This window comes from Homo sapiens, chromosome 2 (genome assembly GCF_000001405.40).
Source record: "Homo sapiens chromosome 2, GRCh38.p14 Primary Assembly".
Lineage (NCBI taxonomy): Eukaryota > Metazoa > Chordata > Mammalia > Primates > Hominidae > Homo > Homo sapiens.
Genome location: NC_000002.12, coordinates 69544295 through 69561509, shown reverse-complemented (window position 1 = coordinate 69561509; position 17215 = coordinate 69544295). Strand labels below are relative to the sequence as shown.

The following is a 17215-nucleotide window of genomic DNA, read 5'->3' as shown; positions in this document are numbered from 1 at the left end:
CTGCATGTCTTTCCTGTTGGGAAAATGAATATGATAGGTTGCTCGCCTACCTTATTCAGTCATTGTGTGAATACAAATGAAATAATTTATTTTGAAATGCCTTTAAAATAAGTCGTATACACATGCTGGGTGGGAGGAGTATTCTGTAAACTCATCTTGAGGGAAGAAAGATAAGAACTGTGGTGATGAATGTCTGAGCTAATATTTATATATATGTTGGAATTCATTTGCAAATCATCTTTTAACTTTGTGGAACATGAGCTGTGTCACTTCCCCTTCTTGGCTTTGAGTAAAATGAAGGTGTTAGACTAGATCAGACATAGAAAACTGGAGGCTCGGAGATTATCTAAAGCTTTTCAGATGTGTTTTCTTTGGCCTCTGTGCTATGGTGACCTGAACAGCATTAATTTAAAAGGTGACTTGTTGCCAGTGTTTAAATGTGGAGATTTCACATACAATTTTGGGTTTCTAGCTCATCTTTAGAAATTAGCAGATCCGACAAAACCAGGTCCATATTCCCACATGGCAACAATGATCTGGAGTTGCATGGTGGCCATCCCATTACATGAGCCATCACATTCGTTTCCCATATTCTCTGCTACTATCTGTATGTAGCCTTTTCTGTCTTCTGTAGACACCTTAAGTAGAGAGTTAGTTCATTATTGAATGCTCACTGTGTGTTAAACACTATTTTATGGCATGACAATCCAGAGGCAAACCAAACAGACAAAACCTCTAAACTCATGGTGAGCTATAAATAGCCATCCACATCTCCATCAACAATTAGGGGGAGAAAGACCAAAAATGCTATATATTTTAGGGAAAATGGGAGAAAACGTGTTTTCTTCTGGACATAAAAAAAAATCCTACATATTTAATAGGCAAAGCATGTCTGTGTCAAAATTATCCTGCCTACTTCACTTGCTTGCTTCACATAATAGATCATATCCTTTTTATCTTTATGATTCAATAGATTCACAGATGAGATTATCTGAGTGTTTCAAAAAATGCCAGTAGGCAGAGAGACTGACACAGGCTACTGAATGTTAAGATTTTCTTACCTCTGTCCAAACCATTAGGTTTTTCCTTTTAATCTAGATCTTGGGATGCAACTCAGGCTGAAATAAACATCTCTATTGACAGTCTTCTCTGTTGACAGCCTCCTTCCGTAATAGCCTGAACCCTCTTAAGCTCTGGCTGAGAATCTCATCACCCTGATCCGTGTGACAGACAGGGCTGTGCACGAGAAGTATCTTGAATGGCACTATCTCCTCTCTTCTAACCTAGTTTACATCTCCATTTGGCCAACTACACAGTGATAGTGACCAACATCTTTAGACTGACAAGTCCTGTTAGGCGTGGATTTTGATCTCGTGATTTAAATGCTTCTCATCTGCAGATAAGCCCTTTTATAGGCATAGATGCTTGACAATGTGGCTTCATCTGTGTTAAGTAAAGTGATTCACTGATTTGCTTTTAGATTTATCATGGTCATAGGCTTTGAGAATCTGGGCTGGCTCTTGTCAGCCATTGTGCTTACTGGATTGCATGGTAGGCGACTGACCCATTTCTTCAGTCCTGGCTGTAAAGGTCATCTTGCTACCTACAAAGAAAACTACACTGCTCCCATCTGGTGGTAGTTATCTCAAATTGCAGCATCTGAAAGAGTTGCCTTGTCCTTCAGCAGTGACAGGCATCATTGAACTGTAGGAAATACCTATTCCCACCTTTTGTTTCACAACATTGTCAGCTGTTTCCTTATTACCTAAAGGGTATCACATGGTTTTTATAGGAGAGAGAACCACCCCACCTTCTGCCCATAACTAGCCATGGGACTCCTAAGCCTCTCTTGGTTTGTCTATGCATAAAGCAAAACACTTGGACTTAATACTCTCTAGGAGTGCCACTCTTGTGAAGTCTGTAGTTCCGTGATTTTTTAAAAAATTCTAAATATCAATGAAGTGAATCCTACTTATACTATTTACAAAACAATTATGAACATACATAGAAATTTTGTAATTTACACTACTATTTTCCTCAATTCTGATTAATTATAAGAGAACATCATGGATTTAATAACTTTGGCAGGGGGTGGGGGGAAGAAAAGATAAATACCACTGCATTAAATGCACATTTTTATTACAAGACATTCTGATACCCTAAAAAGCAAAATGTAAAAAACATGCATTTTAGAATTGAGGAGAGAGAGAGTGTGTGTGTGTGTGTGTGTGTGTGTGTGTGTGTGTGAGAGAGAGAGAGATAGATAAGACCTCTAAGTGTCAATGCTACTTTTGAAAATGGAAAATGTTATTGAGATACAAAGATTAGAGAGATGACAGTTAAAATTAAAGATTATATGATAAATTTTAGTGTTTATTTGAATACTGAGGAACATTGTAACAGGAAATATGCAAACATGCAGTCTCTGGTAAATCATTATCACAGTCCACATTCGGAACTGAAGCCCATTAAATTTCTTTTTACAAAATTAGGTGTGTATTTTATGAAAACGTGCAATAGTGCTTTATGATAAAGGCTCTTTATGGTTGCAAGGAACAAAAACCTACTCAAGCTAACTTGAAAAGAATAACTATGTAAAGATACAGCAGGAAATGCCATGGGCATCAACAGACAGGTACTAAAGTGCCGCTGAGCCTTGGGGGAATTAGAAGGGCATAATCAGGACCCGAGGCTTTATTTCTCAGAGGCCTAAGATCTCTGTAATGGTTGTTTATTGATCTGTATCAATTTTGCATGTGGCTCCTAACCCAGTACTATGTCATAACCCCAATTCAAATTCCCATACTGAAGACTTACCTCTGTGTTCACCTCTATACAATTAGTGACCACCTCTGTGCAAGAATGGCATACTGATTTTTTTGCTGAACAGAGTCAATGGACAGGATATTCAAGCTAAATGATGACAATGTACAAGGCAGGCAGATGGACTGAGCGTCCAGTGTAACTGCTACTTACTCCAAAGCCTTCAACTTTGACAGCTTTGCCTCACTTTGTCTAACTCCTGTCACCAATGGCATTGAACACCTCATACAGTGCTTTAGGAGTGAGGATGAGGTTAGGGTTCTAAGAATTTGGGGAATGCTGTGGTGTAACAAATTTAGAGCACTTGAGAATTCCTGTAGAGTTATATACATTTTTTTTTTTTTTTTGAGACAGGGTCTCTTTCACCCAGGCTGGAGTTCAGTGGCGCAGTCACAGCTCACTGCAACCTCCACCTCCCAGGCTCAAGCCATCCTTCCCACCTCAGCCTTCCAAGTAGCTGGGCCATAGGTGTGCGCCCACCATGCCTCGCTAATTTTTGTATTTTTTGTAGAGACAGGGTTTCGCCATGTTGCCAAGGGTGGTCCTGAACTCCTGAGCTCAAGCGATCTGCCTGCTTCAGCCTCCCAAAGTTCTGGGATTACAGGCATGAGCCACCACACCTGGCTTATATATTTCTGTTAATGAATTGTGAACTGTCTTTTAGAGAAAGGTCAGTGTGGACATTAAAAAGTCTCCCCAATAATTGTCATACTTGCCTTGTGTATGCTATGTGGAATAGCACTTTCTTACCCTTATCATGTATCTTCTCAACAGCCCAGGAGGTAGGGAGGTCCGGAAGAATCTTTAGGTCTGTTTCTAGATTCGAATTGAGTGATAGGATGAGAAGAAAAGAAGAGGAGATTCTTGAAATTAATTGACAACTATTTATAATAGAAATTAGTGAAATAATTTCCTAGCCTCTCTGGTATGAGGGAAAGTGTGCTCCACTTATGCTTTTAAAAATGTTTTTGGTTTGAATCAGATGTCTTTGAGCCTCTGTATTCTTCAGCTGGTAATTGTTTAAAGGGGAAAATAACACCCAATCTCACAGAACTGTGTTAAGAATTAAACAAGAGCATCAAAATACCCAAGACAGGGCTGGTACAGTGGCTCATGCTTGTAATCCCAGCACTGTGGGAGGCCAAGGTGGGAGCCCAGGAGTTTGAGACTAGCCTGGGCAACATAGCAAAAGCACTTCTCTACAAAAAAGTATAAAAATTAGCCAGGAGTGGTGGTGTACACCTGTAATCCCAGCTACTCGGGAGGCTGAGGTGGGAGGATCGATTGAACCCAGGAGGTCAAGGCTGCAGTGAGCAGTGATCACGCCACTTCATGCCAGTCTGGGCCACAGAGGGAAACCCTGTCTCAAAAAAAAAAAAAAAAAAGTACATAGGATAGTACTTGTAATGTAGTACTACCCATTTATCTGTTTATTTGTAGGTTATTTGGAAAATAATTACTATTCTTTTGTTATCCTAAGATAGGTGTTTGGGAACAATTTCTCTGACTCTTGCCACCCACTCCCACAAGTAATATCTCCAAGTTCTGAGAATCTAAGAATGTGTTCTACAACAGGCTAGCCCTAAAGGCTGGCTGGCAGTGGCATTAGTACCATTAGCAGTGACAGTGGCAACCTCCAGCCACCACAGTTATGTGGCTGACTTTTTGAACATTGACTCAAAAGAGCTTGTGTGTGTTTCTCTCACAGGTGGATTTGCTATTGTATTTCTGGTGAGGACAAGCAATGGGATGAAATGTGCCTTGAAACGCATGTTTGTCAACAATGAGCATGATCTCCAGGTGTGCAAGAGAGAAATCCAGATAATGGTAAGGCTGCCCCTTGGACTTGGGACTGTTTAAAATGGAGGCAGAGATTGTACCCTCTCATAAGAAAGCCAAGCGGGGTTTGTTCCCTTCCCTGAGATGGTACAGAGGCCTCTGTACAAAATGGGACTCAACAGCCATGGGATATAGGACACCGCCCTTGCCTTGGTCACTCTCAGCTGGAGGGCAGAGGAAAAAGCATTTTGAGAGAACTGACCAGTTTTTAGGTCAGAAAAGTCATTTTGGGCATTGGGAAAAGCTTACTTAACAACATGGTTCCCAGAAATTAACTGTGATATTTAATCCAGAAAGCCTAACTTTCCAATGAGCCTCTTCTTCTGGTCTTGTCTCTCTCTCTCTCTGTTACCAATCCCCAGTCTCAGTTCAACCCTCCTGAGCTCTTCAAAATCCTGTGAACATATCCTTATACAACTTAATATTTTTACATGTAGTTCTTTCGACCTGGAATGCTTTCCCCCTTTTTTGGCCTGGAAACCTAGACCAAAACCTAGAAACCTCATATATACTCTATGAATCTATTTATAGAAGTCCAAGAACAGGCAACATTATCTGTGGAGATAGAAATCAGAACGTGGTTATTCAGGGGTGGGAAGTTGACTAGAAATGGGTATACGGGGACTTTCTAGGCCGTGGAAATGTTCTGTGTGTTGTTTTAGATAGTGGTTACACAGGGTATATATGTGTCAGAACTCAATTGAACACCTTAAAATCTGCACATTTTGTTATGTTAATTAGACTTCAATTCTTAAAACTTACTCATTTTTCAAGATGCAGATTTATATGTTTAAAGAAAGAGTCCATGCTGAAATATATATGGAGGAAATAATATAATGTCCTTAGAACAATGAGTGAGTTTAGAAGATAAATAAGATTGGTCAAGAGTTGATGGTGATCAAAGCAGAATTATGAGTATATGGGAATTTGTTAGAGTAGCATCTTTCTTTTACCTCTGTTTGACATTATACATAATATTATACCTAATAATATAATAATATGTAATATTATACATAATTATACATAAGAAACTTTGAATATATAGCCTTTTATTCCTTTGTGCTTCCACAGTGCTTTTGTTTTATACCAATTATATTGCTTAACCTGTTATATTGTAAGCAGTTCTGCTATCAGGAAGTAAGTTATTTAAAATCAGAAATTGTATGCTCCAACATACTGCTTGACATGAAGTAAATGCTTAATAAACTTTGGAAGAAATTAGTATTTGAATAATGGTAATAGCAGATACATATGTTCACCTAGAGATGATGATTCCTTTTATGCCCTGGATTTTAATGCTTTTTAAAGAGCAGAAAGGGATCCAACAATGGAGAGGGTGGCATTGTAGGTATCCCATCAGGCTCCGCTTGCCCCTGTTCACCCTATGTGGCCTTTTCAGTGGCTGCTTAGAGTAACTAGTTAGGCTGCAGTTGGACTTCTGAAAGTACTCAGAGTGTTAGAGAGCCTGGCACTACTCTAGATTTTAGAAAGCCAAAACTATTTGGGAAGGAACTGTCAGCACTGCACAACAAACCAGCCAACTCCCAAGGGCCATATACATACAGTCAAGACCACGTGGGCCTGTCTGTAAGGCACCAATGCCTTCCACTCCCCTGCACATAGCTCCAGATTCCTGTTCTTGCTGTATCTTCCTTCACACACGCAGTGGGTTTTCTGGCTGCTTCTCATTATTTGTCTTCCTCCCTCCTTGCCCATGCTTGTTCAGCTCTCACACGCTTTGTTTCCTGTCTTTGCTTCTGCTGTTTCCTCTATCTGGAATGCCCTTCTTGCTCATTTACTTGTGTTACAAAAGCAATCCCATGATTTCACTTTCTCCTCCTTATTTAAAAACACACTGAGAGCTTACTTGGGCTAGGCAGGCATTGTAGTGGAGGAACTAAGAAGCACAGGCCCATGAGGAGCTCACAAATTAATGGGCCTGATTAAGAGTTAAATCACACAGGTTCAAGTTTTGGCCCAGAGGCGTATTAGCTGTGAGAGTTTTGTTTTTAGTTTATATTCTTTCAAAGCTTTAATATTCAAATAGGTGAACTAAGCTTGTTACAAAAAACGTCAAGCAATTCCCCAAGGGGAACTCCTATGCCATTACAAGGTCCCAGCGGCAACCTCTTTAGGTGATTCTTTTGATGTCTTTCTAAATAACATGCTAATATTGCTAGTTCTTGATTTTTCTTCCATTTTAGGCATTATCTCCTATGGGAAGTAAAGACGTAACTGTCACTTACTTGCTGCTTGCCTCTCTCCCCAAATACTTGCAGTATTCTCATCTTCCATTCTTTGAAAACACCAGTAAACTTTGGCAATATGTAGTTTATATGAATATTAGTTTTTACATTATTATATAAGAAAACTATTTCAACTGAATTCCTGGTGGACTATGATTCCTATGCCTTTCCTATGTAACTTTGCTTTCACTAAAATTATTAATGGTCTTGTTTTTCCTCTCTTGGTCTGAGTTTTCTTTGTACTTTTTAACAGTTTAATTCCCAATTTTCCTTAAGTTGTGTAAACCATTTTTTGAATTTTTTAGACGCATTTAATGGTGTCTGTTTTATCATCTTCAAGATTTCTCCCTCAGTCTTCTGACTGAGGAACCTCGGCTGATTATTCTCTGACTAATTTACAGTCGAATCTTGGAATTTCCTGGACATTTCCTTTGCCTCTCTTTTTTGTTAGAACCCGTAATTCCTTTTTTGGCTAACTTCCTCATTTTGTTGGAGCCGATCCTCCAGTATCTTTTTTTTTTTCTCTTTTGAGATGGGGTCTCAGTTACCCAAGCTGGAGCGTAGTGGCACAATCATAGCTCACTGCAGCCGCCATCTCCTGGTCTCAAGCAATTCTCCTACCTCAGCTTCCCCACTAGCTGGGACTATAGGCACATGCCACCAGACCCAGCTATTTTTTTTTTTTTTCCTTAGAGACAAGGTCTTGCTATGTTGCCCAGGCTGGTCTCACACTCTTGAGCTCAAGTGATCCTCCCATCTCAGCCTCCCAAAGTGCTGGGATTACAGGCATGAGCCACTATGCCCAGCCTCAGTAGCTTTTTGATACATGGTAGATAAATTTTTTTGAACTTTCAGGTCTAGGCCGGGCACGGTGGCTCATGCCCGTAATCCCAGCACTTTGGGCGGCCAAGGTGGGCAGATCACGAGGTCAGGAGATGGAGACCATCCTGGCCAACATGGTGGAAACCCTTGTCTACTAAAAATACAAAAATTAGCTGGGCATGGCAGTGCGTGCCTGTAATCCCAGCTATTCAGGAAGCTGAGGCAGGAGAATCGCTTGAACCCAGAAGGCGGAGGTTACAGTGAGCCAACATCACGCCACTACACTCCAGCCTGGTGACAGAGCTAGACTCCGTCTCAAAAAAAAAAAAAAAAAAAAAAAAACAACTTTCAATTCTAGAAGTATCTTTATTTTATGTTCGCACATCATAGTTTGAGTACAGAATTCTGAGTTGGAAATCATTTCATTTAGATTTTTTAAAGCACCGTTCTACTATATTTTAGCTTTCAGTGTTGCTCTTGGGAAATCCTAAGTCATTCTAATGCCTAGTCCGTTGGGAGTGACCCATATATTCTACCAGGAAATTTACAAATTTTCTCTTTGTTTCTAATGTTCTGAAATTTCATGATATGCCTTTGTGTATGCATTTATTTATTATGTTAGGTGTTTGTGGTCCCTTTCAATCTAGAAACTCATATCCTTGCATTCTGGGGGATTTTTTAGTTTCATTTTTTTCCCCTTTTTCTGAAATTTCTATAATTTGGATATTGGTTCTCCTGAATTGATTTTCTAATTTTCTTGTTTTCTCCCTTCTTTTTATATTTCTTTGTCATTTTGCTCCACATTCCAGATTTCCTCACCTCTATATTCCAACCATCCTGATGAAATTTATTTACCAGACTTTTAAATCTCTAAGATCTTTTTTGTTTTTGTTTTATTTTTAATTTCGATGAGTCCAGTTTATCAATTGTTCTTTTTATGGATTGTGCGTTTGGTGTCAAACCTAAGAAATCTTTGCCTAGCTCTCAATTCTGAAGATTTTCTTTTAAGTTTTATAGTCTTACATTTAAACCTATGAGCCATTTTGAGTTTTTTTTTTTCTTTTTTGAGACGGAGTCTTCTTGCTCTGTTGCCTAGGCTGGAGTGCAGTGGTGCAATCCCGGCTCACTGCAATCTCTGCCTCCCAGGTTCAGGTAATTCTCCTGCCTCAGCCTCCCGAGTAGCTGGGAGTACAGGTACGCGCCACCATGCCCAGTTATTTTTGTATTTTTAGTAGAGATGGGGTTTCACCATGTTGGCCAGGCTGGTCCTCAACTCCTGACCCAAGTGATTTGCCTGCCTCAGCCTCCCAAAGTGCTGGGATTACAGGCTTGAGCCACTGCAGCTAGCCATTTTGACTTAATTTTTGCATAATGAGTCTTAGGTTGCGGTTCATTTTTTCCTTATGGATATCTAATTGCTCTTAGTACCATTTATTGAAAAGGCTGTCATTTAATATCTTGGTTAAAAATCAGTTGAACTTAATTGTGAAGGTCCATTTGCAGGCCTTTCTCTATTCTCTATTCCCTTCCATTAATCTATGTACCTATCCTTCTACCAATACCACACAGCCTTGATTACTGTAGCTAAATAAGTTTTAAAATGGACTGAATTTTCCCACTTTTTTTTTAATTTCTTACTGTTTTAAATCTGAAGTCCTATGTAACATTTTTAAGCCCACTAAGTCTCAGACTTCTGTCAGATAGAAGCCATAACCCCAGCCCTACCTCTCTCAGTGACTCTAAGAATTGTGAAGGGAATCAGAAGATGTAACATGCTGTGTAATATGCTGAGGTTTGGGTGTTCATACTCAAAGAAGCAGATTCCTCTCTACTTCCAGTGGCAGAACAACGGGCACGTTGCATCCAAACGCAAAGAGAACTGTTAGCGGTTTCACTGAGTGGTTTCACGTTTTATTTTGATAAATGCTGTCCACCATGTACTGGAGTCTTGTCTGAGTTCTTTGATCCATATGGGATGTGTGCTCTGATAGAGTCGAAGGGATCTGACTTCTGATGGACATTTGGAGGGTAGGTTTTGGACTTCTGATCCCTTTGCCTGAAAGCAGGAAAAGATTAATTATCTTCAGACCTAAAGGGGTAAGAACAGTGATAGGAAATAGCTACAGCTCCAGATGTGTCAAGGCTATTCTGTGTTCACATCCCCTGGCCCAGATGGATTACATCCTCATTGAGCTTGATAATGAGGACAGTAAGCTGCCACCAGTGATGTTTGAGGATTTGCTTCGAAGAGATCAGATGATTCAAAGCAGGCAAATGGTTTCTTATTCTACAAAGGGTGGAAGATAGATCCTGTACAGTAGGAAGCTCAGGATTGTTCTGGGACAAGAATCTGGAACAGATTATTTTATTTTTTTCTTCAACTTTTAAGTTCCAGGGTACATGTACAGGATGTGCAGGTTTGTTACATAGGTAAATGTGTGCCATGGTGGTTTGCTGCACATAACAACCCATCACCTAGGTATTAAGCCCAGCATCCATTAGCTATTCTTCCTGATGCTCTCTCTCCCTCCACCACCCCCACCGGCCCCAGTGTGTGTCGTTACCCGCTATGTGTCCATGTGTTCTCATCATTTAGCTCCCATTTATAAGTGAGAACACAGATTATTTTCAAAGATGCTTTGATTATATCTTTTGTGTAAGAAAGTTGGGGTGTGTGTGTGTGTGTGTGTATACATAATACATAATTGTTTGAATTTGCCTGAAAAAAAAACACAGGAAGCATGAAAGAAAGAAACAATAAATGTGGTTCACTATAGGGGATGGGGATTGGAGTAGGAAAAAAATTGTCTAGTATTATGAACTATTTGAATGTTAATATATTACACACTTTAAAAATGAATGACGGCTGGGCACTGTGGCTCACGCCTATAATCTCAACACTTTGGGAGGCCGAGGAGGGTGGATCATTTGAGGTCAGGAGTTTGAGACCAGCCTGTCCAAAATGGCCAAACCCTGTCTCTACTAAAAGTACAAAAATTAGCCGGGCGTGATTGTGTACACATGTAATCCCAGCTACTCAGGAGGCTGAGGCAAGAGAATCACTTGAGCCGGGGAGGTGCGGGTTGCAGTGAGCCAAGATTGTGCCACTGCATTCCAGACTGGGCGACAGAACAAGATTCTGTCTAAATAAATAAATAAAAATTTTAAAATAGAAAAAAAAAAGAGGCCGGGCACGCAGTGGCTCACGTCTATACTCCCAGCACTTTGGGCGGTCGGATCATGAGGTCAAGAGATGAGACCATCCTGGCCAACATGGTGAAACCCCATCTCTACTAAAAATACAAAAATTAGCTGAGCATGGTGGTGCACGCCTGTAATCCCAGCTACTTGGGAGGCTGAGGCAGGAGAATCGCTTGAGGCTGGGAGGCAGAGGGTGCAGTGAGCTGAGATTGCGCCACTGCACTCCAGCCTGGTGACAGAGCAAAATACCATCTCAGAAAAAAAAATGACATTTTAAGCTGTTTTATAGTTACTTGGATGAGTAAGCAGAGGTCCAGAGAGCCTTCAGGTTCAATAAGAACAAACCATGTCATAACAACATCCTGTTCTCCTTTGGGAAGATGTCTGGATAGAGAGCTCAGTGCGGTGCAGTAGATCCAGTATCTGTGGACTTTGGCCAGGTGTTTTGATAAGGACACTCACCAGACATCTGTCAGCAAAACGAAGAGTCTAGGCTGGATTGCTACTGGTTATAAAGGTTTCTGATAAGTGGTTTGATATTAATCTGGAGGAAACTTTCTAAAAAGAAAGCATTGTGGCTTACCATTAATTTTATGTTATTTTACATTTAACAAATAACTCGTTTAAAGAAATAGAAGATACATTGATCAATTATGTGCCTTTATAAAGTTGGAAGATGTAGTAACTGCATTGAGTCATAGAATCAGGCTCCAAAATGGTTCTTATAAATTGGAGCAGTGGACTGATTCTAATGAAATGAAATAATAAGGTAAGATCATACACTTGAAATTTTATTCTAATCAACTTTACAAGCATAGTTCTTGGGAGGCAGAGATTAAAAGCAGCATGAGTGGAAAAGACTTAGGTATTTAAGTGGTCAGTTAATTCAGAATGCATGTATAGTATGATGTGGGTGCCAAAAGACAAAAAGAATGTAATGTTTAGCTGCATTAATAGAATTATAGAAGGTGATAGTGCTGGTCTACTCTGCATGAGTCAGACCAAGCCTGGAGTATTTCATTCATTTCCTGGGGCCATTCTTATAAAAAGAATGTAGCAGAGCAAAGCATATAAATGTAGGAGCAGCCAAAATGGTCTTAAAAACCATGTCAGAGAAAGAGGGGATGTTTCACATGGAGAAAAGAACACTCAGTCTAAATAATGCTATTTCACCTGTTTATTATATTTTACTTTTTATTTATTTATTTTTGAGACTGAGTCTCACTCTGTCACCCAGGCTGGAGTGCAGTGGCATAATCTCGGCTCACTGCAACCTCCACCTCCTGGGTTCAAGCAATTCTCCTGTCTCGGCCTCCCGAGTAGCTGGGACTACAGGCGCATGCCACCACGCCTGGCTAATTTTTGTGTTTTTAGTAGAGACGCGGTTTCACCATGTTGGTCAGGCTGGTCTCGAACTCCTGACCTCAGGTAATCCACCCACCTTGGCCTCCCAAAGTGCTGGGATTACAGGCGTGAGCCACCGAGCCCAGCCTTACCTGTTTAGAAAGTGGAAAAATAGACTAGACTTGCTAATTTTGCTCTGGAAAGGACCATCTAGAAAATCAGGAGGTGGAAGATTCCAGATAGGTAAGGAAGAACTGTCTAACGGGTGAGGGCTGTCTGTAGATTGGCTGAGGGCCTAAGGAAGTGGCATTATTCTAACAAAACAGCTTGTTGGCCGGGTGTGGTGGCTCACGCTTGTAGTACCAGCACTTTGGGAGGCCAAGGCAGGTGGATCACGAGGTCAAGAGATCGAGACCATCCTGGCCAAGATGGTGAAACCCTGTTTCTACTAAAAATACAAAAATTAGCTGGGTGTGGTGGTGCATGCCTGTAGTCCCAGCTACTTGGGAGGCTGAGGCAGGAGAATCACTTGAACCCAGGAGGCAGAGCTTGCAGTGAGCCAAGATTGTGCCACTGCACTCCAGCCTGGTGACAGAGCAAGACTGTCTCAAAAGAAAAGAAGGAAGGAAGGAAGGGGAAGAAAAAGAGAGAGAGAGAGAAAGAAAGAAAGAAAAGAAAGAAAGAGGAAGGAAGGAAGAGAGAGAGAAAGAAGGAAGGAAGAAAGAGAGAAAGGAAGGAGAGAGAAAGAAAAAGAAAGGAAAAAAGAAAGAAAAAGAAGGAAAGATAGAAAAAACAAAGAAAACGAAAGAAAAGAAAAGAAGGAAAGCTTGTCAGAAGGCTGTAGTGGGGATTCAGATATGGGCTGCCTGGTTGCTCTAGATCAGTGTTACTCAAAGGATCTTTTTTCCTTATGCTTTTCTCCTCCTGTGTGTTGACTTACAAAAAATCTATTTTCCTCCCAGTCTGTCATGTTACTTTTGTGTGTATACAAATTGAGATAAAATTTACCCTTTTAAAGCATACGGTCCAGTGATTTTTAGTATATTCACAAGGTTGTGCAACCATCACCACTATCTAATTTTAGAACACTTTTTTCTTATCCCCTGAAGGAAACTTCCAGCCTGTTAGCAGTCTTTCCTTATTCCCCCTCTCCACAGCCCCTGATAACCACTCATGTTTTTACTGCATATTCTAGATATTTCATATAAATTGACTCATACAATATTTGACCTCTTGTGTCTGTTTTCACTTAGCATATTGTTGTTAAGGTTCATCCTTAAAAACATGTCCTTGATACATGTCATAGCATGTATCAATATTTCATTCCATTGTGTGGCTTGTGATATTCTGTTGTATGAATGTACCACATTTTATTTATTCATTTATCAGTTGATGGAATTGGGTTATTTTCACATTTTGGCTATTGTGAATAATGTTGCTATGAACATTTGTGTAGAAATTTTTGTGTGCCTATAATATTTTCACATCTCTTGGGTGAAATTGCTAGGTCATATGATAACTTGACTTTTTGAGGAACTGTCAGACTGTTTTGGTAGCTGCATCATTTTATATTTCTACTAGTAATATACAAGGATTCCAATTTTCACCTCCTTGCCAATATTTTTTATTATTTGTTTTTTATTATAGCCATCTTAGTGGGTGTGAAATGGTATTTCACTGTGATTTTTTATTTATATTTCCCTAATGATTGATTATGCTGATCATCTTTTCATATACTTTCGGGCATTTGTATATGCTCTTTGGAAAAATATCTATTCAGATCCTTTGCTAATTTTTACATAGGGTTGTCTTTTTTGTTGTTGTTGAGTTGTAAGGGTTCTTCACATATTCTGGACACTAAATCCTTATCAGATGTATGATTTGTAAATATTTTCTTCCATTCCATATGTTGTTTTTAGACTGTCTTAATAGTGCCATTTGAAACACAAGTTTTTAATTTCAATAAAGTGCAATTTATCGCTTTTTGCTTGATTGCTTGAGCTTTAAGTGTCATATCTAAGAACCCATTGCCTCATCTAAAGTCACAAAGATTTGCACGTATGTTTTCTTTGAGGGATTTTTAGTTCTTTGATCCATTTTGAGTTAATGTTTGTATATGGTGTGAGGTAGGGATCCAAATAATTCCCACTTGTCCCAGCACTACTTTTAAAAAAGACCATTTTTCACCCATTGAATTGTCTTGGCACCCTTGTCAAAAATCAGTTGAGTATAAATGTACTGATGCCACTCAAAGGATCTTGTGCCATAATATAAATCAATGAACTGCTTCCCTCACAGGTAAGATCTTGCTGGGGGGAGAAAAGAGAGCTTAGTGATTTGATTGATTTATGTGCTGGAGCAAGCTCCTTATTTCCTTACCTTCTGGTAATAGTTTATTAACCAGCAGATGTTAACCAGTAACATCTGCTGGTAATAGTTTTATTAACCAGCAGATGAGGGCTCTGCCCTCATGACTTAATCACCTCCTAAAGGCCCCACCTCTTAATACGATTGCATTGGGGATTTAAGTTTTAACATGAATTTTGGAGGGGACACAAGCCTTCAAACCATAGCATGGTTCTACCAATATTTTGTTGCTTTTTTCCAGATGCTTTATTATTCCTCTTAGGATGAGACCAACTCAGAGGCAACATTGCTGATTCTTTTTCAAATAGTTAAATGTAGGGATATGAGTCTTTCATTCATCTTTGAATATTTGGAGGATATGATCCTTATTTTGGTTTCAAAGAACTTCTCTCCAGTTCTTCCTACTTTCAGGAATGTGTAAATGGAAATGAGTTCTAGATGGGTTGATGATGAGATGGGAAAGCAGAGGGAAGGATAGGCCACTAAAATGTGAGTCCCAAAATCATTTTCTGTTTGGGAAAAACTTGAATTATAGAGATTGTGTGTCAGCTTCATCATCTCCCTTATGTATTATCCAAAGCAGATGCAGTAAGTCTTTTGTCTCATCAAACTTCTTTGTCATTCCTATACATTTAGGAAATGACCTTGTTCTCTACCAAAAATAAAACAACAGATACGAACTCATTTGAGTTCTCTTTTTCTTCCGCCTTAAACCAGCATGCACAGCCATCCTTGCCTCCTTCCTGCTTGCCAGGGGGAAAAAAAAAAAGTTACCCTAAGACCAGTCCCTTGAACAGTACTCTTAATCCCACCCTTCTACTTATAGGACTTTTTCCGTCAATTATCATCATCCTGTCCTGTATCTTAAAGCTCTCTTCTCTTGGCTCCTTCCTCTTTCTGGTGCTCAGTTTTCTCCCATTCTAAACACCCTTTCCCCTCAATGCTGCTGCCTTAGGCACAAATGTTCTGCAAGAGTAATCTGTAGACCCTGGCCCTACTTGCTCAACTCTCATTCATTGCAAGTCCAGTTTCATTCTCACCACCATCCCATCTGTTCTGTGAAACTACTCTCACGTAAGTCTCCAGTGACTTCCATCTGCCAATTCCAAAGCCTTTCTACTTTTGTCTGAACTTTTGTTGCAGCTGCCATTTCTGAGGCAATAGTCATTCACAATCCATCACTCAGAGGAAGACTCTAATGAGTTTTAACTTTGATGCCCAGGGTTCAGGTGTATTCACTTCATACCATGGGGTTTTCTCTTGTTTTGTTATGAAATTTGTTTTTCACTGTAAACAGCTGAATCTAATTAGAGTGGTGGTAGTTTCTGTTCTCACGGTCCAAACTGCTAAGTTTGTATGGTGACTCTCAGGGGACCACATGTTTTCCTTCCCCCTGACCTTTTTGAAACAAAAATCAGACAATTTATTAAAACTAGTTTAAAAAATAAAACCTTACCTTGCATTTGTGCAAAAATCATATCACCCAGCTTGCCTTCTTTTTCTTTCCTCAACTTACTTCTTAATTACTTGGTTTTGAATATCATCATTACAAAGAGCTGCCTCTCTGGAGATGTTTAAAGGACTATACCAAAATGTGAGGCCACTTCCAGTTCCTAGATGGGTCCTGACACATAGGAGGTGCTCAACAAATGTTGGTTGGATGAATGAATTCATCCAAGCAGCCCTAAGAGATCACATGCAGTTCCAACTGAAGAGCTGGAAACATGCCCATCTTATATCCCAGTTGGTTGGCTTGAAAGGCCTGATTATGAACAAAATGCTTAGGTCTGGATGCTATTGTAGTCCCTTCAAGACTTTGTAAATAGCTTTTTTTTTTTTGGTAGATTTCCCAAAAGGAAAAAAACAGTACGAACTATTTAAAAGTCAAGTTAAATTCATTTTTGCCCCTACAACCAGGAAAAACATCAATTTTATTTTTCTTAATTAGAAGTTCACATATTTAAGTAGTTCACACGGTCTCTCTACTCTTTACCCCCTGCAGTGTTTCTGGAGAGGGGAGTCTTTGCTTCTAGTTTACGTGGAGCATTGATGCAGTAAGCAAGTAGGCACTCTGTGCATTTGACTCTAGAATTTAGGTTCTGGAGTGTGCTCTGGTTTAGTAGGGTTATGGAATTGCTATTGAAGATCTAGCAGTGAATCTCAGGGACCACTGGAAACCTGTTCTTGACTTTGCTCCTTAGTCTTCTCTGTCAACACTGTATCATCTCTGTATTTAAATTATCTGTGCTAATGGAACTGACTGGCTAATTCTGTCCTATTGGCATCTGAAACTAACAATATATTTCTCCTCTCTTGTTCACAGAGGGATCTTTCAGGGCACAAGAATATTGTGGGTTACATTGATTCTAGTATCAACAACGTGAGTAGCGGTGATGTATGGGAAGTGCTCATTCTGATGGACTTTTGTAGAGGTATGTATATGAACCATTCCCTTAAGCTGTCATTTCTCTAGCATTTTGATTGTCATGGTTAGGGTGGTCATTTCACTTAATGTGCACTGCACTCTATGATATGTTCTGGTTTGACAGATGAGAAAACTAAAAGATACAGTC

At 39.7% G+C, this 17215-nt stretch overlaps 1 protein-coding gene across 5 annotated transcripts in view, besides 2 other annotated features; it reads left to right on the top strand.

Moving 5' to 3' along the window:
• Positions 1-17215, top strand: part of AAK1 (AP2 associated kinase 1) — a 185743-nt gene that overhangs the window by 82230 nt on the left and 86298 nt on the right. For all 5 annotated transcript variants that reach the window (NM_001371577.1, NM_001426746.1, NM_014911.5 and 2 more), the window contains exons 3-4: positions 4532-4650; positions 16966-17074. In NM_001371577.1, the coding sequence (NP_001358506.1) occupies positions 4532-4650; positions 16966-17074 (228 nt within the window). The remainder of the gene's footprint in view (positions 1-4531; positions 4651-16965; positions 17075-17215) is intronic.
• Positions 15584-15633: an enhancer, noted in NCBI's record as "active region_15974". NCBI's record gives its function as "activates an Ori minimal core promoter by ATAC-STARR-seq in GM12878 lymphoblastoid cells {active_cell/tissue: GM12878}" and the evidence as "EXISTENCE:reporter gene assay evidence [ECO:0000049][PMID:35858748]".
• Positions 15684-15733: an enhancer, noted in NCBI's record as "active region_15973". NCBI's record gives its function as "activates an Ori minimal core promoter by ATAC-STARR-seq in GM12878 lymphoblastoid cells {active_cell/tissue: GM12878}" and the evidence as "EXISTENCE:reporter gene assay evidence [ECO:0000049][PMID:35858748]".